Genomic DNA, 18,597 nt, shown 5'->3' on the forward strand with positions numbered 1-18,597 from the left:
CGAGTGGTCTAGCACTCAGCCAGGCTTCCATTCTGTGTACGGGGAGCAGAGGAGGGGCTCACGGCAGCCCCCAAACACTGGGCACTTGGTCAGAAACAAAGGGGAGACCCTACACCCCACAAAGCATGAATCTGTAAAAGAAGTTTGAGGCCAGGCGCCGTGGCACACATCTGTAATCTCAACACTTTGGGAGGCCAAGGCGGGTGAATCCTTTGAGGCCAGGAGTCCAAGACCAGCCTGGCCAATATGGCGAAACCCCGTCTCTACTAAAAATATGAAATTAGCTGGGTGTAGTGGAGTGCATCTGTATTCCCAGCTACTCGGGAGGCTGAGGTGGGAGGATGGTTTGAGCCTGTGAGGCAGAGGTTGCAGTGAGCTGAGATTGTGCCACTGCACTCCAGCCTGGGTGACAAGAGCAAGATTCTGTCTCAAAAATAAAATTTTAAAAGTTCTGCAATTCTGCATAAAGATAAATGCTATTTGTTCCTGGGGGCTGGGGTCACCAGGGAGGCTTCCTGGAGGAGGAGGCAGGGCTGAGGAATGGATGGCAGCAGAGAGTATTTGTGGGTGAGGCTATGGTGCTGCTGGAGAGGCAGGGTGTGGCAGCTTGGGCTGGGGCCAGCAGTGAGCTTGGAATTCCCCAGGGCTTTCCAGAAGCCAGAAGGCCGGGGCGGAGTGGGTTGTCCAAGAGCTTGTCTTGTCCTCTTGCCCTGGCCACAGCCGGGAAGCCCTGGGCAGGCGCCCGTGGATAGCTGGCACGCTCAGCCTTTGGTGGAGAACTGAGGTGAGCTGGAAGGACTAATGGGAGGGAGGAGAGGTGTACTGGGGCCCCGGGGCAAGGCCCTGCTTTGCACTCAAGATAAGAATCCAGGGCTCTAAGGGGAGGTGGTGAGGGAGGGAGCCGCCCGTCCCGCCGTATTCAAGGAGAAAGACACATCTGGGGTCAAATTAGAGAGCTGGTGGGGACTGTTTTCTGGTGCTGAGTCAGCTCCAGGAGGTCCCCTCTTCCCCACTGGTCCAGAAAGTCTGAAGCAGGAAGGTGGAAAAACATTTCGTGCTCAGGGAGGAAACGTCTTCACCCCGGTTTACAGGTGAGGAAATGGGCTCAGAGCGTGGCTAAAGTCCCCCAAGGGCCAGGCAGGCAGGGCAGGTCGGGGTGCCCAGGGTTGCTGCCGCTGATTCTGGCCTGGGTGGAGGAGGGGCTGACGGCCTGTGCTGGGACAGGGACAATTGTGATTATTAGCCTGGAGGAAGGGGGGCTTGAAAGTCAGGAAGGCCACGGGAGTCGGGACAGAGAAGCTGCCGTGGCTTAAAAGTGTCCCCTAGAGTTCCTGCACTGGCAGCCTAGTCCCCAGTGCAATAGCACGGAGAGGTGGGACCTTTAAGAGGTGATGAGGTCACAAGGGCTGGGCCCTCCTGAGCCCATCAATGCTATCATCATGGGAGTGGGTTTGTTATCAAAGCGAGTTCGGTCCCTTCTTGGTCTGTCTCTGGAGCACACACACCCCGTCCTTCCACTTACTGCCACAGGATGACACGTCAGCAGGGCCCTCACCAGATGCTGGCCCCTTGATCTCAGACTTCCCGGCCTCCTGCGCTGCCAGCCTAATACACTTCTCTTCGTTGTAAATTACTCAGTCTGTGATATTCTGTGATAGCAACAGAAAACAGACGAAGACGCAGGCCAAGGTGAGCTCAGATGGGAATGGGGCCTGGTGTGAGTCAGGATGTGGACTGGCCCAGGGCACAGAGGTCAGGAGCAGGACATTGGGGCCAGAGCTCAGGGTTACCTGGACTCTGTCAGAGGCCTCTGGTTGGATCCAGCCTCACCACCCTGGTGTTTGAGGCCCTCTGCACTTCCATCCAGCTCCGGGCAGCCAGGTTGGTCTCTTTCATCTCCTGTGCACACACTTCAGTCTCATCTCTCACCCTTGACCCTGCCCAAAATAGTCTGTACTTACGAAGAGTCTGCCCCTCTTTCCAGCTTTATCTCAGGAAGGACCTTCAGGAAGCTTTTCCCAACCACTTCAGCCCCAGGGTCCTGAGATTTCTCTGGATTCCGGAACGCGCTGGCCGGTCACTCAACACCAGAGTGAATACACGTGTCTGTCTGGTCCCGCCGTCCTCACTGCAGGAAGCTGATAGTTGTGGGGAGAGATGGACAATAACCAGGGCGATGAGCAGATGCATTGCTGCAGCGTGGGTCCCTGGTGGGGGAATGGTGCTGAGAACGGGAATGACGCGCAAGGCCTCCCTGAGGTGGGGAGGTAGGGAAGGAGCCCACTACGGAGATCTGGGGGCACACGGGAAGTCCTGGGGCTGAAAAGAGCCGGCCTGGCTGGAGGCAGAAGGCCACGGGGGAGGCTGGTGCTGGTGCCACGGGGAGACACCCAGGCAGAGCTGGAGAGGTTGTGGCAGCAACACCGTCCTGGTGACAAGCCACCAGAGATGCCCACACGGAAGCATGTGGGAATGATTTGCATTTTGGGACAGTCCCTCTGACTGCGGTGGCTGGAGTAGATTGTAGAGGTCAGTGCTGGATCCTGGGACAGCCCTTTGTGTCGTCTGATTCAAGGTGATGTTCTTGGACCAGGGTGGTGGCAGTGGGAATGAAGAGAAGTGGATGGATTTGGGGTGCAGAATCAGTGAGGCTTGGGGATAAGGGGGACTGCTCAGGCTTCTGGCAGAAGCGAGCAGGTGTGGTGTGCAGTTCCCTGGGTTGGGGGGCGGGGGTTCCCAGCAGCAACCTGGGCTGCGGGAAGGTCGTGAGTGCTCCCGGGGACTGCAAGCCAGTGAAGGACTGCGTGGAGGCATCAGGTGGACAAGTTGTCACAAAGGCCAGGCAACTCTGAGGAAGGCCCTGGGCAGACAACACAAACCATGGAGTCAGAGGAGCTGAGCCCAAATCCACTCCGTCCATATCACGGCCATCTGGGCACTGTCAGTGCCACCCCACTTCCCAGAGAGATGTCATCTGCACTCAGGACTCCAGCCATCACAGGTGTGCCCCCAGCTCCCACTCCTGCACCTCCTGCAAGACCCTGCCCTCCCCTAGCTTCAGGCACATGCCCAGCTCCTCCCCAACACTGCACCTGGTAACCTCAGGCTCCCTCCAACTCTGGAGACTCCAGTGGAACTCAGATACCCCCCTCCCCACCGCCCCTGGCTTTCTCCTGCTCCTCCTCCTTCTCCATCCTCTACCATGGGTGATGTCATTGCTGCCCACTCATAACAGCGAGCATCTTAGTTGGTACTCTAGACCAGGGCTTTGCACACTCTAGACCAGGGCTTTGCACACACTAGACCAGGGCTTTGCACACTGTAGACCAGGGCTTTTGCACACTTCAAGGCATGCGTAAATCACCTGGAGGTCTTATTAAAATGCAGGTTCTCATTCAGCAAGCCTGGTAGGCCTAAGATTCTGGATTTCTTTCTCCTTTCTTCTCTATTTTTTTCCTTCTTTCCTTCCTTCCTTCCTTCCTTGCTTCCTTCCTCCCTCCCTCCCTTCTTCCTTTTTCCTTCTTCCTCCCTCCCTTTCTTTCTTTCTTTTCCTCTTTCTTTTCTATTTCTTTCTTTCTTTCTCCTCCCTCTCTCCCTCCTTTCTTTTCTTTTGGAGACAGGGTTTCACTATGTTACCCAGGCTGAACACAAACTCCTGGGATCAAGTGATCCTCCTGCTTCAGCCTCCTAAGTAGTTGGGGCTACAGACTGGATTTTGCATTTCTAAGAAACCCAGCTACTGCTGCTGCTGGCCCTTAACCACAGTTGCAGGGATGAGGCGTTTCTAGACCTGTCCCTCTCCTCCCCACCCCACACATCCTGGAAGCTTCTTGGGTCTTCCTCTCTTCCCTTCCTTCTACCACCTGAGCTCAGGTCCCGTCATCTCTGACCTGGATGGACTATGGCACCTCCTGGCACGCCTTCCTTTGCTTTAAGCTGCTGAGGGCTGTTCCGCGGTAGGCGTCACTTATCCAGTGGCGTTTCCCTGCAGCCTGCAGGGTCCAAGCCTCTCCTCAGCGCAGATGCTGTGCATGGATGGGGCGGGAGGATGTTCACAGAAGCGCCATGGAGGGACAGCCAAGATCAAAGCCAGGAAGTGGGCTCCATCAGGGGCTGTCCTATCAATCCCGGGGGCTCATTCACCCATGGAGGTCCCGTGCCAAAGCCAGGGAGAGCCAAGGGCAAGAACCCATTACTCCAGAGAGCACCCTTGCTTGGTGCTCTAGATAGCCGGTCTTAAGAGGCTGGGCACGGTGGTTCATGCTGGTAATCCCAGCACTTTGGGAGGCCAAGGTGGGAGGATCATTTGAGGCCAGGCGTTCAAGACCAGCCTCAGCAACATAGCAAGACCCCCATCTCTATGAAAAACAGCAGATCACAGATTTTCACAGTGTGGACTAAAACCACTTGCTAAAATATACGTTTTAGCCCCAACCCCGGAGATTCTGATTCTGTGTTCCTGGGGGAGCCATCAGTTTAAAAGAAAAAAACAAAACAAGCAAAAGCTAAGCAGGAGCTGCAGACACCCACCCGAGTCTGAGCCTGGCTGCGCTTCCCCACCGATGCCAATGGCACCACCTGGTGGTCATCATGTACATTACACCACCTTCCTGGAGGGGCGTCCTTGCACATGGTATAGGGTCGCTGCACACAGCATCTCTTCTAATTTTCCCAACTCTGCAAGAGAGATCCTCATCCCCGTTTCACTGATGGAGAAGCCGAGACTCAAAGAGGAGAGGTGACGTCTCTAAAACCCCACTTGTGGGAAGCGGAAGAGTCTGAACCCTAGCCCTGTTGTCTGTGCAATGGCTTGTAAATCTGGCTGGTAGTCAAAATCATCCGGGGAGCCTTTTTAAACTGGAGGTGCAGCCTTCAGCATCACCCCTTTGCATGCAGCTCCTTGCCCTCCCACGTGAGGAAAAGCTCGAAATCGCCAAAGGCGGGAAGACACTCACCACCCAGGACAAAGTGTAGGGGACTGGGGTCTCAGGGAAAAGGCTGGGGCTATGGGGCACCTGAAGCTCAGGGAAGCTTCTGTTTATTAACCAGATATTTCAGCATTTTAACAACTGGTGTGTGTGTGTATGACTGTGTCACATACACACACAAAATCTTACAAGTGTGGGAATAGAAGAGGGAATAACAGCAACACAACCTTGGAAAATCTTGGAAGCTGGAAAGCAGATACTCGAGTGGAAACTGACTTAGCAGTGTGCCTTGGTTGAGTGCCTACTGTTTTCTCAAAATACCGTTCAAATGACAGTAAAGGAATACAGGCCCGTGGGTCCCTAACACAAAGAAAAGGGGACCCTGATAGTTAACTGATAGTTAGGTTTCTGCAAAGAAGTGGAAAGTGGGTGAGTCATGGCTGGCAGCACCCCCTGGGGTCCTTAAGGCCACCCAGCCAGGGGCAGTTCAGGCACCCTCCCAGCTGCCTGGCTGGGACTGGCAGTGCCAGGCTGGCCAGAGCTAGGAGAAGTGTGTCTGCCCGGTACACTCATGGTCTTGAGGGACAGAGTCAGCGCTGTGGTGATGGCTGTCAGTCGTCAAGTCCTGCCCCCAATATCCCAGTAGTTTCTTTCACGGAAATGTGACTGGAAGCACGAGAGCCACTCGACACTTGAGGAAACGCAGCTTCCTGAAAGGAAAAGACCAAGAAGAAGAGACCCAAACCATTCCCACAAACGCAAGGGAAATTCTGGGAACGGAAAGGAAATTGCAAAGGGAAACTGAAGTTAGAATTATCAGAGATTTCAGGTGAGATTGCATATTTTCTCCTCATCTGAAAGATAGCTGCAACTTGCTTTTTTCCCTCTCAATGTCGCTTCTGAAATTTCTTCATCAAACATAAATCAAAGCAACCAGTGAATCTGTCCTACATTCCTTTGTATGTACGTACCACAATTCATCAAATGACACGTAAGGTGATTCTGGGGACTGAGTTTTCTGGTTTTGTTTGCAATTACAAATGGTGCTTAATAGCACTGTGACCTTGGAAAATTACTTTTAACTTTACCTGGCTTCTGTTTACAGATGCTTATTTGGAAAATGAGGATAACAGTAGGAGAACCTACCACACAGGTTTGTGATGAGGATTAAATGATTCATAAATGTAAGCCTTTAGAATAGTGCAGTGGTTCTCAGTTGGGCCTGATTTTATACCCAGAGGACAGCTGGCAATGTCTGGAGACATTTTTGTTGAAATGACTGGTGGGTAGAAGCCAGGGAGGTTGCTAAGCCTCCTGCAATGCCCAGGACATCCCCTGAGAGAACTGCCCAGCCGGTTGAGAAACCCCAGAACAATGCATGGCACAAAATGTGAACTCAATCAATATTCGTTATTTTTTAAGAGCTGCAGTGAAAATTATTTTCCTTATCATCGATGTACAAGTGTGAGAGTGTCTCACAGAAACTATCACTCCCTTCAAATACTCATGGAACATTTATCAAAATTGTTTTATTCAGCCATAAAGAACATCTAAGTAAATTCTAAAATGTAGAAATCATACAGAATATTTTCTCACCATGAAGCAATAATTGAGAAATTAACTACCAAGGGGAGCTTCTTCCTGCTCCACCCCTACCTCCCTTCACCTATCCAGAATTCCAAAGCTATCTGGAATGTTTAAAATGTCATAAGTAACTGTTTGTTAGAGAAGAAACACAAAGTGAAATATTAATTTATAAAGTAACATAAATAAGAATGTTATATGTTAAGAGCTACTGAGTACAAGGGAAAACTCAGGAAAATAGTCCTATGAAATTTTATAAAATAAAGAAAATTGAAAACAAATCAGCTAAGCACTTACTTCTAGAAAGAAAATGAATAATAAAATAAATACCAAGAGAGTAGGAGGAAATTAATAAAAATAAAAAAGAAATTAATGAAATAGAACAGTAGGCTGGGCGGGTGGCTCACGCTGTAATCCTAGCACTTTGGGAGGCCAAGGCAGGCAGATCACCTGAGGTCAGGGGTTCGAGACCAGCCTGGCCAACATGGCGAAACCCTGTTTCTACTAAAAATACAAAATTAGCCAGGCATGGCAGCGGGCGCCTGTAATCCCAGCTACTTGGGAAGCTGTTTGGACCCGGGAGGCAGAGTTTGCAGCGAGCTGAGATTGTGCTACTGCATTCCAGCTTGGGTGACAGAGTGAGACTCTGTCTCAAAATAAAAAATAAATAAACTTAAAACTTAGCTGGGTGTGGTGGCGCACACCTATCGTCCCAGTTACTCAGGAGGCTGAGGTAGGAGGGTCACTTGAGCCTGGGAGGTCCAGGCTACAGTGAGCCATGATTGCAGCCACTGTACTCCAGCCTGGGTGTGAGACCCTGAAAAAAAAAAACAGAAAGAAAAAAGAAAAGAAAGAAAGAAATACAAAAGTAGCATCCATAAATGAGTACTTTCTAAAATGCCAATAAAATACACCAGCAAAATACTTATGTTAAAGAGAGCTCTGGCTGGGCACGGTGGCATACACCTGTAATCCTTGCACTTTGGGAGGCTGAGGAGGGAGGATTACTTGAGGCCAGGAGTTCAGGACCAACCTGGCCAACATAGTGAGACCTCGTCTCCACTAAAAAAAAAAATTTAAGAGATAAGAATTGTTTAAAGCTAATTAAAAGGATATAGTAACATAGACAAAACTCTGACAAGTCTAACTTTAAGGGGGAAAAATAAGCAACAGATACAGACAATGTCAGGAATGAGGAAAGAGATATAACCACAGATATACAGGAAATTAAAAACTGTAAGAAAGAATTCTGTTTAGTATGGCATATTCTCTACAGCCTCTCATCCCCAAAACGCCACAAAAACTATAGTAAAGGAGTGGGGATGGGCAAAGAAACGCACAAAAGGAAACTAGGGAGAACAGAGAGGGGGAAAGGACAAGAAAGTTTGGAAGATGAAAAGTAGATATTTGAGCCATAACTGACTTAGAGTTCCGACAATGTAAACTAATCCAGAAGAGGGGAAAGCTGAGAAACAGGATTAAAACCTCAAGACCCAGCCCCTGCCCCACACCTTGGGTCCTACAATCTGTTGGGATCGGCAAAGCGGCCGTCCTGGTCACCCCAGCTCTCACTCCACACGCAGGACCCTGGCACGGTGCCATCTGCCCTCAGCAGCAGCAAAGCCTGGGAGAGTCCCTCACCCTGCTCTACCACCAAAGCACTGGTGGGCTCTGCAGGGGCAGCATCTGCAAAGCCTCATGTCTCCCTGCCCCCTACCCAGTGGCGTCTGCCCCTTTTTCCCATGCAAGTCATCTAGCAACACCGGGCCAACCCGGGATGTGCTCCTGCTCCCACCAGCAGGGACTGAAAGGGTGCCCCGGTGGCACCAGAAAAACAAAGCACAGGAGACTAACATCGCGAGGGCTCAGAAAACTAAACTGCCTTCAGAACTGAAGCCCACAAGTAGACAGAACCTACATGCTAACCTGGGCAGCTGCCTGCTGAAACAGAAGCCTGAAATAGGATTGAGGATCCCAGAGCCAGCACAGTGGCTCAGGCCTGTACTCCCAGCGCTTTAGGAGGCCAAGGTGGGCAGATCACGTGAGCCCAGGAATTTGAGACCAGCTTGGGTAACATAGCAAAAACCCCATCTCTACAAAAAATACAAAAACGAGCCGGGCATAGTGGCATGCGCCTGTAGTCCCAGCTACTTCGGAGGCTGAGGTGGGAGAATCCCTTGAGCCTGGGAGGCAAAGGTTGCAGTGAGCCAAGATCACGCTACTGCATTCCAGCCTGGGCGACAGAGCCAGACCCTGTCTCAAAAACAAACAAACACAAACAAACAAAAAAACGAACAAACAAACAAAAAAAAACCGGCCTTGCGCAGTGGCTCAGGCCTGTAATCCCAGCACTTTGGGAGGCCAAGGCAGGTGGATCACAAAGTCAGAAATTCGAGACCAGCCTGGCCAACATTGTGAAACCTCGTCTCTACTAAAGATACAAAAATTAGCTGAGCGTGGTAGGGTGCACCTGTAATTCCAGCTACTCAGGAGGCTGAGGCAGGAGAATTGCTTGAACCAGGAGGTGGAGGTTGCAGTGAGCCGAGATCGTGCCACTGCACTCCAGCCTGGTGATAGAGCGAGGCTCCATCTCAAAAAAAAAAAAAAAAAAGGTATTCAAAGAAATCATGGCTGAAAATTTTTCATACTTGGCAAAAGGCATAAACCTACAGATTCCAGAATTGGGGAGAGCACAAAGAAATTATTTTTATTAATTGTTATTACTATATTATTATAGTTTTCAGAAGTTTAATTATGATGTGTCTTGGTGTGGATTTCTTTGAAGAAAGAATCCCAGAGTGCTGGGATTACAGATGTGAGCCACCATGCCCAGCTGTTTTTTTCTGTTGTTGTTTGTTTTTGAGATGGACTCTCACCCAGTCGCCCAGGCTGGAAGTGCCGTGGTGCGATCTCGGCTCACTGCAACCTCCACCTCCTGGGTTCAAGCGATTCTCCTGCCTCAGCCTCCTGACTAACTGGGATTACAGGCATGTGCCACTATGCCCGGCTAATTTTTTGTATCTTTAGTAGAGACAGGGTTTCACCACATTGGCCACGCTGGTCTCGAACTCCCGACCTTGTGATCCACCCGCTCTGGCCTCCCAGAGTCCTGGGATTACAGGCGTGAGCCACCGCGCCCGGCCGCTTGTATCTTTTTGAGAGTGGCTCAGCATAATGTTCTTGCAATTCATCCCCGTTGTTGTGTGTCTTGATGGCTCCTTTCCTTTTACCTGCTGAGTAGTGCTTCACGTAATGTTCATGCAACTCATCCCCGTTGTTGTGTGTCTTGATGGCTCCTTTCTTTTTACCTGCTGAGTAGTGCTTCACGGTTTGGACGCATGACAGTCTGTTTAAGCATTTGTCTGTTGAAAGATATCTGAGTAGTTTCTAGTTTAGGGATATTATGAATGAAACTGCTATAAACATTCATGTACAATTTTCTCCACGAAAATAAGGTTTCATTTCTCTGTGACAAAGGCCAAAGAATATAATTACTGAGTTGTATGGTAACTCCATTTTTAGTTTTGAAAGGAATTGCCAAAATGTTTTCCAGATTGGCTGTATCATTTTACATTCTCACTGGCAATGTGTGAGTTAAACTGTTTCTTTGCATCCTTGCCAGCATTTGGTGTTATCACTATTGTTTATTTTGGTCATTCTAAAAGGTATATAGTGATAGCTCATTGTGGTTTTAATTGGTATTTTTCTACTGACTAATGATGCTGAACTTTTTTTATTCTTTTTTTTCTTTTTGAGACAGAGTTACCAACCTCCGTCTCCCAGGTTCAAGCGATTCTCCTGCCTCAGCCTCCCTAGTAGCTGGGACTACAGGCGCACACCACCAAAAAAAAAAATTTTTTTTTGTATTTTTAGTAGAGATGGGGTTTCACTATGTTGGCCAGGATGGTCTCGATCTCTTGACCTCGTGATCTGCCCGCCTCGGCCTCCCAAAGTGCTAGGATTACAGGCGTGAGCTACCATGCCCAGCCGATGCTGAACTTTTTTTAGGTGTTTATTTGCCATCTGTATACCCTCTTTGATGAAATTCCTATACATACCTTTTGTATATTTTCAGATTAGATTGTTGGTGTTTTTAATACTGAGGTCTGACAGTTCTTTCTTTATTTTATTTTATTTATTTATTTGAGATGGAGTCTCGCTCTGTTGCCCAGGCTGTAGTGCAGTGGCACGATCTTGGCTCTCTGCAAACTCTGCCTCCCGGGTTCAAGCAATTCTCCATCCTCAGCCTCCTGAGTAGCTGGGATTATAGGCACGCACCACTATACCTGGCTAATTTTTGTATTTTTAGTAGAGATGGGGTTTCGCCGTGTTGGCCAGGCTGGTGTTGAACTCCTGACCTCAGGTGATCCACCCACGGCAGCTTCACAGAGTGTTGGGATTACAGAGTCCTTTATATATTTTAGATACAATGCCTTTGTCAGATATGTGACTTGCAAATATCCACTCCCAGTCTATAATTTGTCTTTTCATACTCCTAACAGTCTTTCATTGAGCAAAAGTTAATTCTGATGAAGTCCAATTAATTGACATTTCCTTTTATGGATGGTGCTTCTGGTGTCAAGTCTAACAACTCTGCCTAGACTGGGTCCTGAAGATTTTCTCCTATTTTTTTTCTAGATGTCCTGTAATTTTACATTTAAGTCCAAGGTCCATTATAAGTTAAAAATTGTAGGCCGGGCGCAATGGTTCACGTCTGTGATCCCAGCACTTTGGGAGGCTGAGGCAGGCGGATCACGAGGTCAGGAGATTGAGACCATCCTGGCTAACACAGTGAAACCCCATCTACTAAAAACACAAAAAATTAGCCGGGCGTGATGGTGGGCACCTGTAGTCCCAGCTACTCAGGAGGCTGAGGCAGGAGAATGGCGTGAAACTGGGAGGCGGAGCTTGCAGTGAGCTGAGATCGCGCCACTGCACTCCAGCCTGAGCAACGGAGCGGGACTCCATCTCAAAAAAAAAAATTGTAGAAGATGGGAAGATTAGTTCAGGATCTTTTTTGTGGGATTTTTGCAAGATGAATGTATAATTGCTCCAGCACCATTTATTGAGAAGGTGGCCCCTTTCTCCATTGAATTACTTTCTTCTTTCATCAAAAATTAATTTAGTAGGCCGGGCAAGGTGGGTTACGCCTGTAATCCGAGCACTTTGGGAGGCTGAAGCAAGACAATTGCTTGAGGCCAGGAGTTTGAGACCAGCCTGGCCTACTTGGCGAAACTCCATCCCTACTAAAAATACAAATTAGCTGGGCATGGTGGCACGTGCTGGTAGTCCCAGCTACTGGGGCTGTGAAAGGGAGGCTGAGGTGGGAGGATCGCTTGAGTCCAGAAGGTCGAGGTTGTAGTGAGCCAAGACCGCGCCACTGCACTCCAGCCTGGGCGACAGAGCAAGACCCTGTCTCAATAACAAAAAATTAATTGGGTATATTTGTATAAATCTATTTCTGGGTTCTCTGTCTGTCTCACTGATCAATGTGACTCATCTCTTTTCCAGTACCACACTGTTTTAATTACTGTAGCTAATAGTAAAGACTTGGCATCTGCAAGAGTGATTACTCCCACTTTATTCTTTTTAAATATTGTTTGGCTATTCTAGAGCCTTTCCTTTCCCACAGAAATTTTGGAATAAGCTTTTATGTGTTCAGAAAATCTTGCTGAGGTTTTAATAGAAATTTTGGTAAACCTATAGATCAATTTTGGAGAGAATTTACATCTTTACTATGTTAAGTGTTTAGTCTTTCAATTTTTTTTTTTTTTTTTTTTTTTTTTTTTTTTTTGAGACGAGGTCTCCCTATGTTGCTCAGGCTGGCCTTGAACTCCTGGGCTAGGGCAATCATCTTGCCTTAGCTCCTCAGTAGCAGGGTTACATACAGGTGTGCACCACCTTGCCCCAAATCTTTGCTTGAGCCCAGGAGTTTGGGACCAGCCTGGGCAACATAGCAAGACTCCATCTCTACAAAAAATAAAAATAGGCCGGGTGCAGTGGCTAACCCCTGTAATCCCAGCACTTTGGGAAGCCGAGGCGGGTGGATGATGAGGTCAGGAGTTCAAGACCAGCCTGATCAATATGGTGAAACCCCTTCTCTACTAAAAATACAAACATTAGCCGGGCATGGTGGCACGTGCCTGTAGTCCCAGCTACTCCGGAGGCTGAGGCAGGAGAATTGCTTGAACCCTGGAGGCAGAGGTTGCAGTGGGCCAAGACTGCACCACTGCACTGCAGACTGGGTGACAGAGCGAGACTCTGTCTAAAAAAAATTAAAAATATAAATATAAAAATAAATTAGCTGGACGTGGTGGTGCACACCTGCAGTCCCAGCTACTTAGGAGGCTGAGGTGGGAGGATCACTGGAGCCTGGGAGGTGGAGGCTGCAGTGAGCCATAACTGCACCACTGCATTCCAGCCAACACAACAGCGCGAGACCCTGTCTCAAACAAAACGAAACAGTTGTTATGTAAAGAAATAAATAAATTTTAATGAAAAAAATAAATGAAAGAAATTTAAAGAGCAATTAACCAGAGCTAGGGATAGGCGAGGGAGGGGTGAGTGTGGCTATAGATCTTGGGGTGATGGCACAGTATCTTTTTTTTTCTTTTTGAGGCAGGGTCTGGCTCTGTCACCCAGGCTATAGTGCAGTGGTGTGATCATGGGTCACTCACTGAAGCCTCAACCTCATGGGCTCAAGTGATCCTCCCACCTCAGCCTCCTGAGTAACTGGGAATACAGGTGTGTGCCACCATGCTCAGCTAGTATTTTTAATTTTTTGTAGAGATAGGGTCTCACTGTGTTGCCCAGGTTGGTCTTCAACTCCTAGGCTCAAGCGATCCTTCTGTCTCAGCCTCCAAAGTGTTGGAATTACAGGTGTGAGCCACTGTGCCTGGCCCAGGGAAGCATCTTTTTTTTTTTTTTTTGAGACAGAGTCTCGCTCTGTCGCCCAGGCTGGAGTGCAGTGGTGCAATCTCGGCTCACTGCAAGCTCTGCCTCCTGGGTTCACGTCATTCTCCTGCCTCAGCCTCCAGAGTAGCTGGGACTACAGGCACCCGCCACCACGTCTGGCTAATTTTTTTTTTTTTGTATTTTTACAAATACAAAAACTTTGGCCTCCACCAAATTTGTATTTTTAGTAGAGATGGGGTTGCACCGTGTTAGCCACGATGGTCTCGATCTCCTGACCTCATGATCCGCCCGCCTCAGCCTTCCAAAGTGCTAGGATTACAGGCATGAGCCACCGCGCCCGGCCCCAGGGAAGTATCTTGATTATGGTGGTGGACACCTGAAGCTACATGTAACAAAGTTGCACAGAGAGCCCCTCTCCCACACACACATAAATGAGTGCATGTGTAACTGGTAAAATCTGAATAAACTCTATGGCTTGAACCAATGTCCACTTTCTGGGTTCGAGATTGTATTACAGTGGCCAAGTGCAGTGGTTCATGCCTGTAATCCCAGCACTTTGGGAGGCTGAGGCTGGTGGATCGCTTGAGCTCGGGAGTTCAAGACTAGCCTGGGCAACATAGTGAAACCCCATCTATACAAAAAAAAGAAAAACAAGGCCGAGCGCAGTGGCTCACGGCTGTAATCCCAGCACTTTGGGAGGCTGAGGCGGGTGAATCACCTGAGGTCGGGAGTTCGAGACGAGCCTAACCAACATGGAGAAACTCTGTCTCTACTAAAAATACAAAATTAGCCAGGGTGGTGGCGCATGCCTGTAATACCAGCTACTCGGGAGGCTGAGGCAGGAGAATCGCTTGAACCCGGGAGGTGGAGGTTGCGGTGAGCCAAGATCGCACCATTGCACTCCAGCCTGGGTAACAAGAACAAAACTCTGACTCAACAAAAAAAAAGAAAGCACTCATTGCCAAAGATCTTGTCTGGACACAGCTCTTAAACGTTAAGACTCGAGTCCTTTACTTGGTTGCTTTTGTGTTCTGCTTGTCATCCAGTTTCACAATTTAACGAATCTGAGGCCATTTTTGAAATACTCCGCTTGGTTTGGAAGCCAACACCCTCAGTCCACTTTTGGCCAGCAAGCTCTCAGTCTCTGCATGGCAGAGCATCAGCCTTGTCTTCTGCCACACATGCACCACTCGATTCTGGTGGCAGCAGCCTACAGTACTGTGCCGTCTCTGCTCCACAAGATGCTCGGGACCCCACCAGCCTTCCTGCAGCTCCCATTCTTACTCTGACCTCATGGCCCTCATTCTCATGGTCCCAGATGCAAACTCCCTGCTCCAGGCAGCAGGATGGAAGACAGGCTCAGGAGGAGGCGGCAATAGGTGCGGCCTCCCTTGGGTATGGGAAGACTAGGTTCTACTCATTGGAAGAAGTGTGAATGTGGATATCTGGCCATCAGATATTTGGACTGTGTCAGAAACGTTTGTCTGTTCAACAAAATTCATGCCCTCTCTTCCACTGTACAGATTTATTGCCGGAAGCAGGTGCTCAGACAGAATTGAGCAAGTGATTTCCAGGCTTGTGGAAATCTTCCCAAATCTTTGCTTTTGGTGGGAAGGTATGACTGGTTCTTGCGAATGGGCCAGGAGATGAAGTGATGTGGGTGACTTTGGGCTGAGCTGGTTAGGAAGCACTTCGGCTTTCTTTTCTTTTTTTTTTTTTTTGAGATGTGGTCTCACCCTATCGCCCAGGCTGGAGGGTAATGGCGCGATCTTGGCTCACTGCAACCTCCACCTTCCGGGTTCACGCCATTCTCCTGCCTCAGCCTCCCTAGTAACTGGGACTACAGGCACCCGCCACCATGCCCAGCTAATTTTTTTGTATATTTAGTTGAGATGGAGTTTCACTGTGTTAGCCAAGATGGTCTTGATCTCCTGACCTCATGATCTGCCCGCCTCGGCCCCCCAAAGTGCTGGGATGACAAGCATGAGCCACCACGCCCGACCATGCTTGGCTAATTTTTATATTTTTAGTAGAGACGGGGTTTCGCCATGTTGGCCAGGCTGGTCTTGAACTGCCAACCTCAGGTGATCTGCCCGCCTCGGCCTCCCAAAGTGCTGGGATGACAGGCGTGAGCCACCGCGCCCGGCCGCGCTTGAGCTTTCTTATTCTCTCTTCCCTCTTTACCAGCTGGATACAGAGGGCTCTGAAGCCTAGGGCAGGGGTTCCCCAGGTTTTTTTTTTATGCCGTGACCCCTCCTGGAAGTCTGATGAAGCCCACGGACCTCCACTCAGAATAATGATTTTAAAAACACAAAGTAAAATACACAGGATGGCAAAGGGAACTAGTTATATTGAAATAGTTACAAAACTATTTCAAGTATTATAACAATATTTGTGCATATAATAGCATATTAAATAATAAAATCTTTTGGTAGATCTAATATCTCTCACATTTAAGTAGCAAATGACTGAAAATGATTTTTTTTTTGAGATGGAGTCTCCCGCTGTTGCCAGGCAGTGCAGTGGCATGATCTTGGCTCACTGCAATCTCCGCCTCATGGGTTCAACCTCCTGCCTCAGCCTCCAGAGTAGCTGGGATTACAGGCATCTGCCACCACACCCAGCTAATTTTTGTATTTTTGGTAGAGAGAGGGTTTCCCCATGTTGGCCAGGATGGTCTCGATCTCCTGACCTCAGGTGATCCGCCCGCCTCGGCCTCCCAAAGTGCTGGGATTTCAGGCGTGAGCCACCGCACCTGGCCCATATTTCAGGATACCCCAACACTTTTTTAGGGTTATGAAAATGTTTTAGAGCTAGAGAGAGGCAGTGGTTGCACGCCATTGTGAGTGTACTAAGTAGTACCGAATTGTATACTTTAAAATGGTTCATTTTATATCATGTGAATTTCATCTCAAAAAAGGAACTGGGGGTGGGGAGATCTCCCCACAGCTGTGATAGGGTACAACAGTATCCGGCTGGGGCTTCTACTGGTGATGGTCATGGGGATCGCTCATTCCATTGGGATCTGTTACCTACGCTCAAAATGACAGTGCTAAATTTCTACCCAATTGAGTTCACAGGTCCCTTTGCCTGAATTCTATCCACAGATTCCTTGGTGGTCCACAGACCCTGGAGTAAGAATCTCTGCCCTAGGGGATGACAGGACTGTAAAAGGAAGGGACCTGGGTCCCTGAATCACACGGGGGAAGTCACCTGCTGAATCAGAACGCCTCAACAGCTAGCTAGCCAAGAAATAAACGGAGAGCGTGGCAACCCACAGATTTTGTTTGTATTTGTTTATTAGAGCAGCTAGCATTACCCTGAGCCAACAAATTCCCATTTCTGCTTAAATCACTTTAAATCAGTTTCTACTGTAGAAACTGAATGAGTCCTAATAAATTCAGACAGTGGCCTGTGAATCAAGTTATGCACGAAGAAACTTGGGACTCCTGTCCCGGGGCTCCCAGATAAAACCCTGTGGCCCCCTCCATCTCTGGGAGGACCCACATCCTCTGCATCTCTTCAGATTTTTGCCTTCAGCTCTGCTGATGTTCCTCTTGGAGACCCCGCATGGGGGTTCTGGACTAACCCACTGCCTGCAGAGGCAGGGGAGTGGATGTGAGGCCACCAGTTCAGTGCACAATACCCCTTCGGGTATCCTGGAGACAAACGCCACTCCTCAGCTGGCATGTTGTGGCATCCTGGGACAGTCAGGTCAGTTTTTGGAAACTTAATAAGCATTGTGTTAATCTGGAAGGAACAAAAGTCACCATGCCCTAAACTTTCCAAGGGTAATATCCATAATAAATGCCTGTCCAGGCTGGGTGTGGTGGTGCACACCTGTAATCCCAGCACTTTGGGAGGCCAAGGCGGGCAAATCATCTGAGGTCAAGAGTTCAAGACCAGCCTGGCCAACATGGCGAAACCCCATCTCTACTAAAAATACAAAAAATTATCTGGGTATGGTAGCGCGTGCCTGTATTCCCAGCTACTTGGGAGGCTGAGGCAGGAGAATCGCTTGAACCCAGGCAGCAGAGGTTGCAGTGAGCTGAGATTGCACCACTGCACTCCAGCCTGGGCGACAGAGCAAAATTCCGTCTAAAATAAATAAATAATAATAAAAAAAAAACACAAAAAAGGCTGGGCACGGTGGCTCACGCCTGTAATCCCAGTACTTTAGGAGGCCGAGGTAGGCGGATCACGAGGTCAGGAGATCAAGACCATCCTGGCTAACACGGTCAAACCTCTCTACTAAAAATACAAAAAATTAGCCGGGCATGGTGGTGGGCGCCTGTAGTCCGAGCTACTTGGAAGGCTGAGGCAGGAGAATGGCGTGAACCCGGAAGGCAGAGCTTGCAGTGAGCCGAGATCACGCCACTGCACTCCAGCCTGGGAAACACAGCGAGACTCTATCTCAAAAAAAAAAAAAAATTCCTGTCCTAGGTCAGCCTCCTGCTCTCCGGCCAATACGTCATATCCCATAATAAGCAGCAGGGCAACTCAAAATGTTTTTCTCCCAGGGGAGTATCAGTGATTAATCTGCCAGCAGGCGTTGGCATCTTGGGGCATCTCCCTGGAACTCCACCCTGGCCAGGCACTGCAGCCAAACAGACCCACCCTTCAGCAGCTCAGACCCAAGCTCGGTGGTGCCCCAGCGCCCCCTGCCTCTCACACCACACACCCGACCATCAGAAACTCCCAGGGGGAGTACAATCAATACAATGCAGACTGTCTAAACAGCCTAGAGCTTTGTTTGGTTCTTTTTTCCCCCCGATTGACAATCGGACCCACTGGTTTAAATTTAGAGGTTAATTCATCTGAAACGGTGTCTAGTAGTTGAAGAAAGACATACAGAGCATATTATTTGAAATGTGCTTAACGTGCTGTTTAAAAACAAATTTGTCCTGTTTCTAGGCCTTTTAGACACCAGTATTAAGCCTTAAGTCAAACAGCCCTAAAGGCTGCCTGTATCTGGACTTCTCGTCACAGGAGTCAGTAAGGGCGCCGGGTTTGTTATTCAAGGTCAGCGCATGGTAATCTATCAGTTCAAATGCTTGTCTCTGGGGAGTGTGGCTGGAATAGGGATAGGGATGAGATATTCACTTCCTTTATCATGCCTTTCTGCTTTTTAAGTTTTACCATTTTATTTTATTTTATTTGTTAATTTTTT

At 48.8% G+C, this 18,597-nt stretch overlaps 1 long non-coding RNA gene across 1 annotated transcript, besides 3 other annotated features; it reads left to right on the plus strand.

Annotated features, from left to right (window-relative positions):
- Window positions 483–1,682: an enhancer, noted in NCBI's record as "CDK7 strongly-dependent group 2 enhancer chr5:179894063-179895262 (GRCh37/hg19 assembly coordinates)". NCBI's record gives its function as "activates an origin of replication core promoter dependent on BRD2, BRD4, P300/CBP, MED14 and CDK7 cofactors, with strong dependence on CDK7, by STARR-seq in HCT116 cells {active_cell/tissue: HCT116}" and the evidence as "EXISTENCE:reporter gene assay evidence [ECO:0000049][PMID:35650434]".
- On the plus strand, window positions 653–16,704 carry LOC102725231 (uncharacterized). The gene is made up of 4 exons (XR_941323.2): window positions 653–784; window positions 1,022–1,091; window positions 1,531–1,689; window positions 16,535–16,704. It is a non-coding gene; the product is annotated as an uncharacterized LOC102725231 (long non-coding RNA).
- Window positions 4,484–4,683: an enhancer, noted in NCBI's record as "active region_23768". NCBI's record gives its function as "activates an Ori minimal core promoter by ATAC-STARR-seq in GM12878 lymphoblastoid cells {active_cell/tissue: GM12878}" and the evidence as "EXISTENCE:reporter gene assay evidence [ECO:0000049][PMID:35858748]".
- Window positions 8,245–8,776: an enhancer, noted in NCBI's record as "H3K27ac-H3K4me1 hESC enhancer chr5:179901825-179902356 (GRCh37/hg19 assembly coordinates)". NCBI's record gives its function as "activates a minimal SCP1, AML or CMV promoter by ChIP-STARR-seq in naive H9 embryonic stem cells {active_cell/tissue: H9 hESC(naive)}" and the evidence as "EXISTENCE:reporter gene assay evidence [ECO:0000049][PMID:30033119]".
- Window positions 16,705–18,597: the final 1,893 nt, after the last annotated feature.

This window comes from Homo sapiens, chromosome 5, assembly GCF_000001405.40.
Source record: "Homo sapiens chromosome 5, GRCh38.p14 Primary Assembly".
NCBI classification, from domain to species: Eukaryota; Metazoa; Chordata; class Mammalia; order Primates; family Hominidae; genus Homo; species Homo sapiens.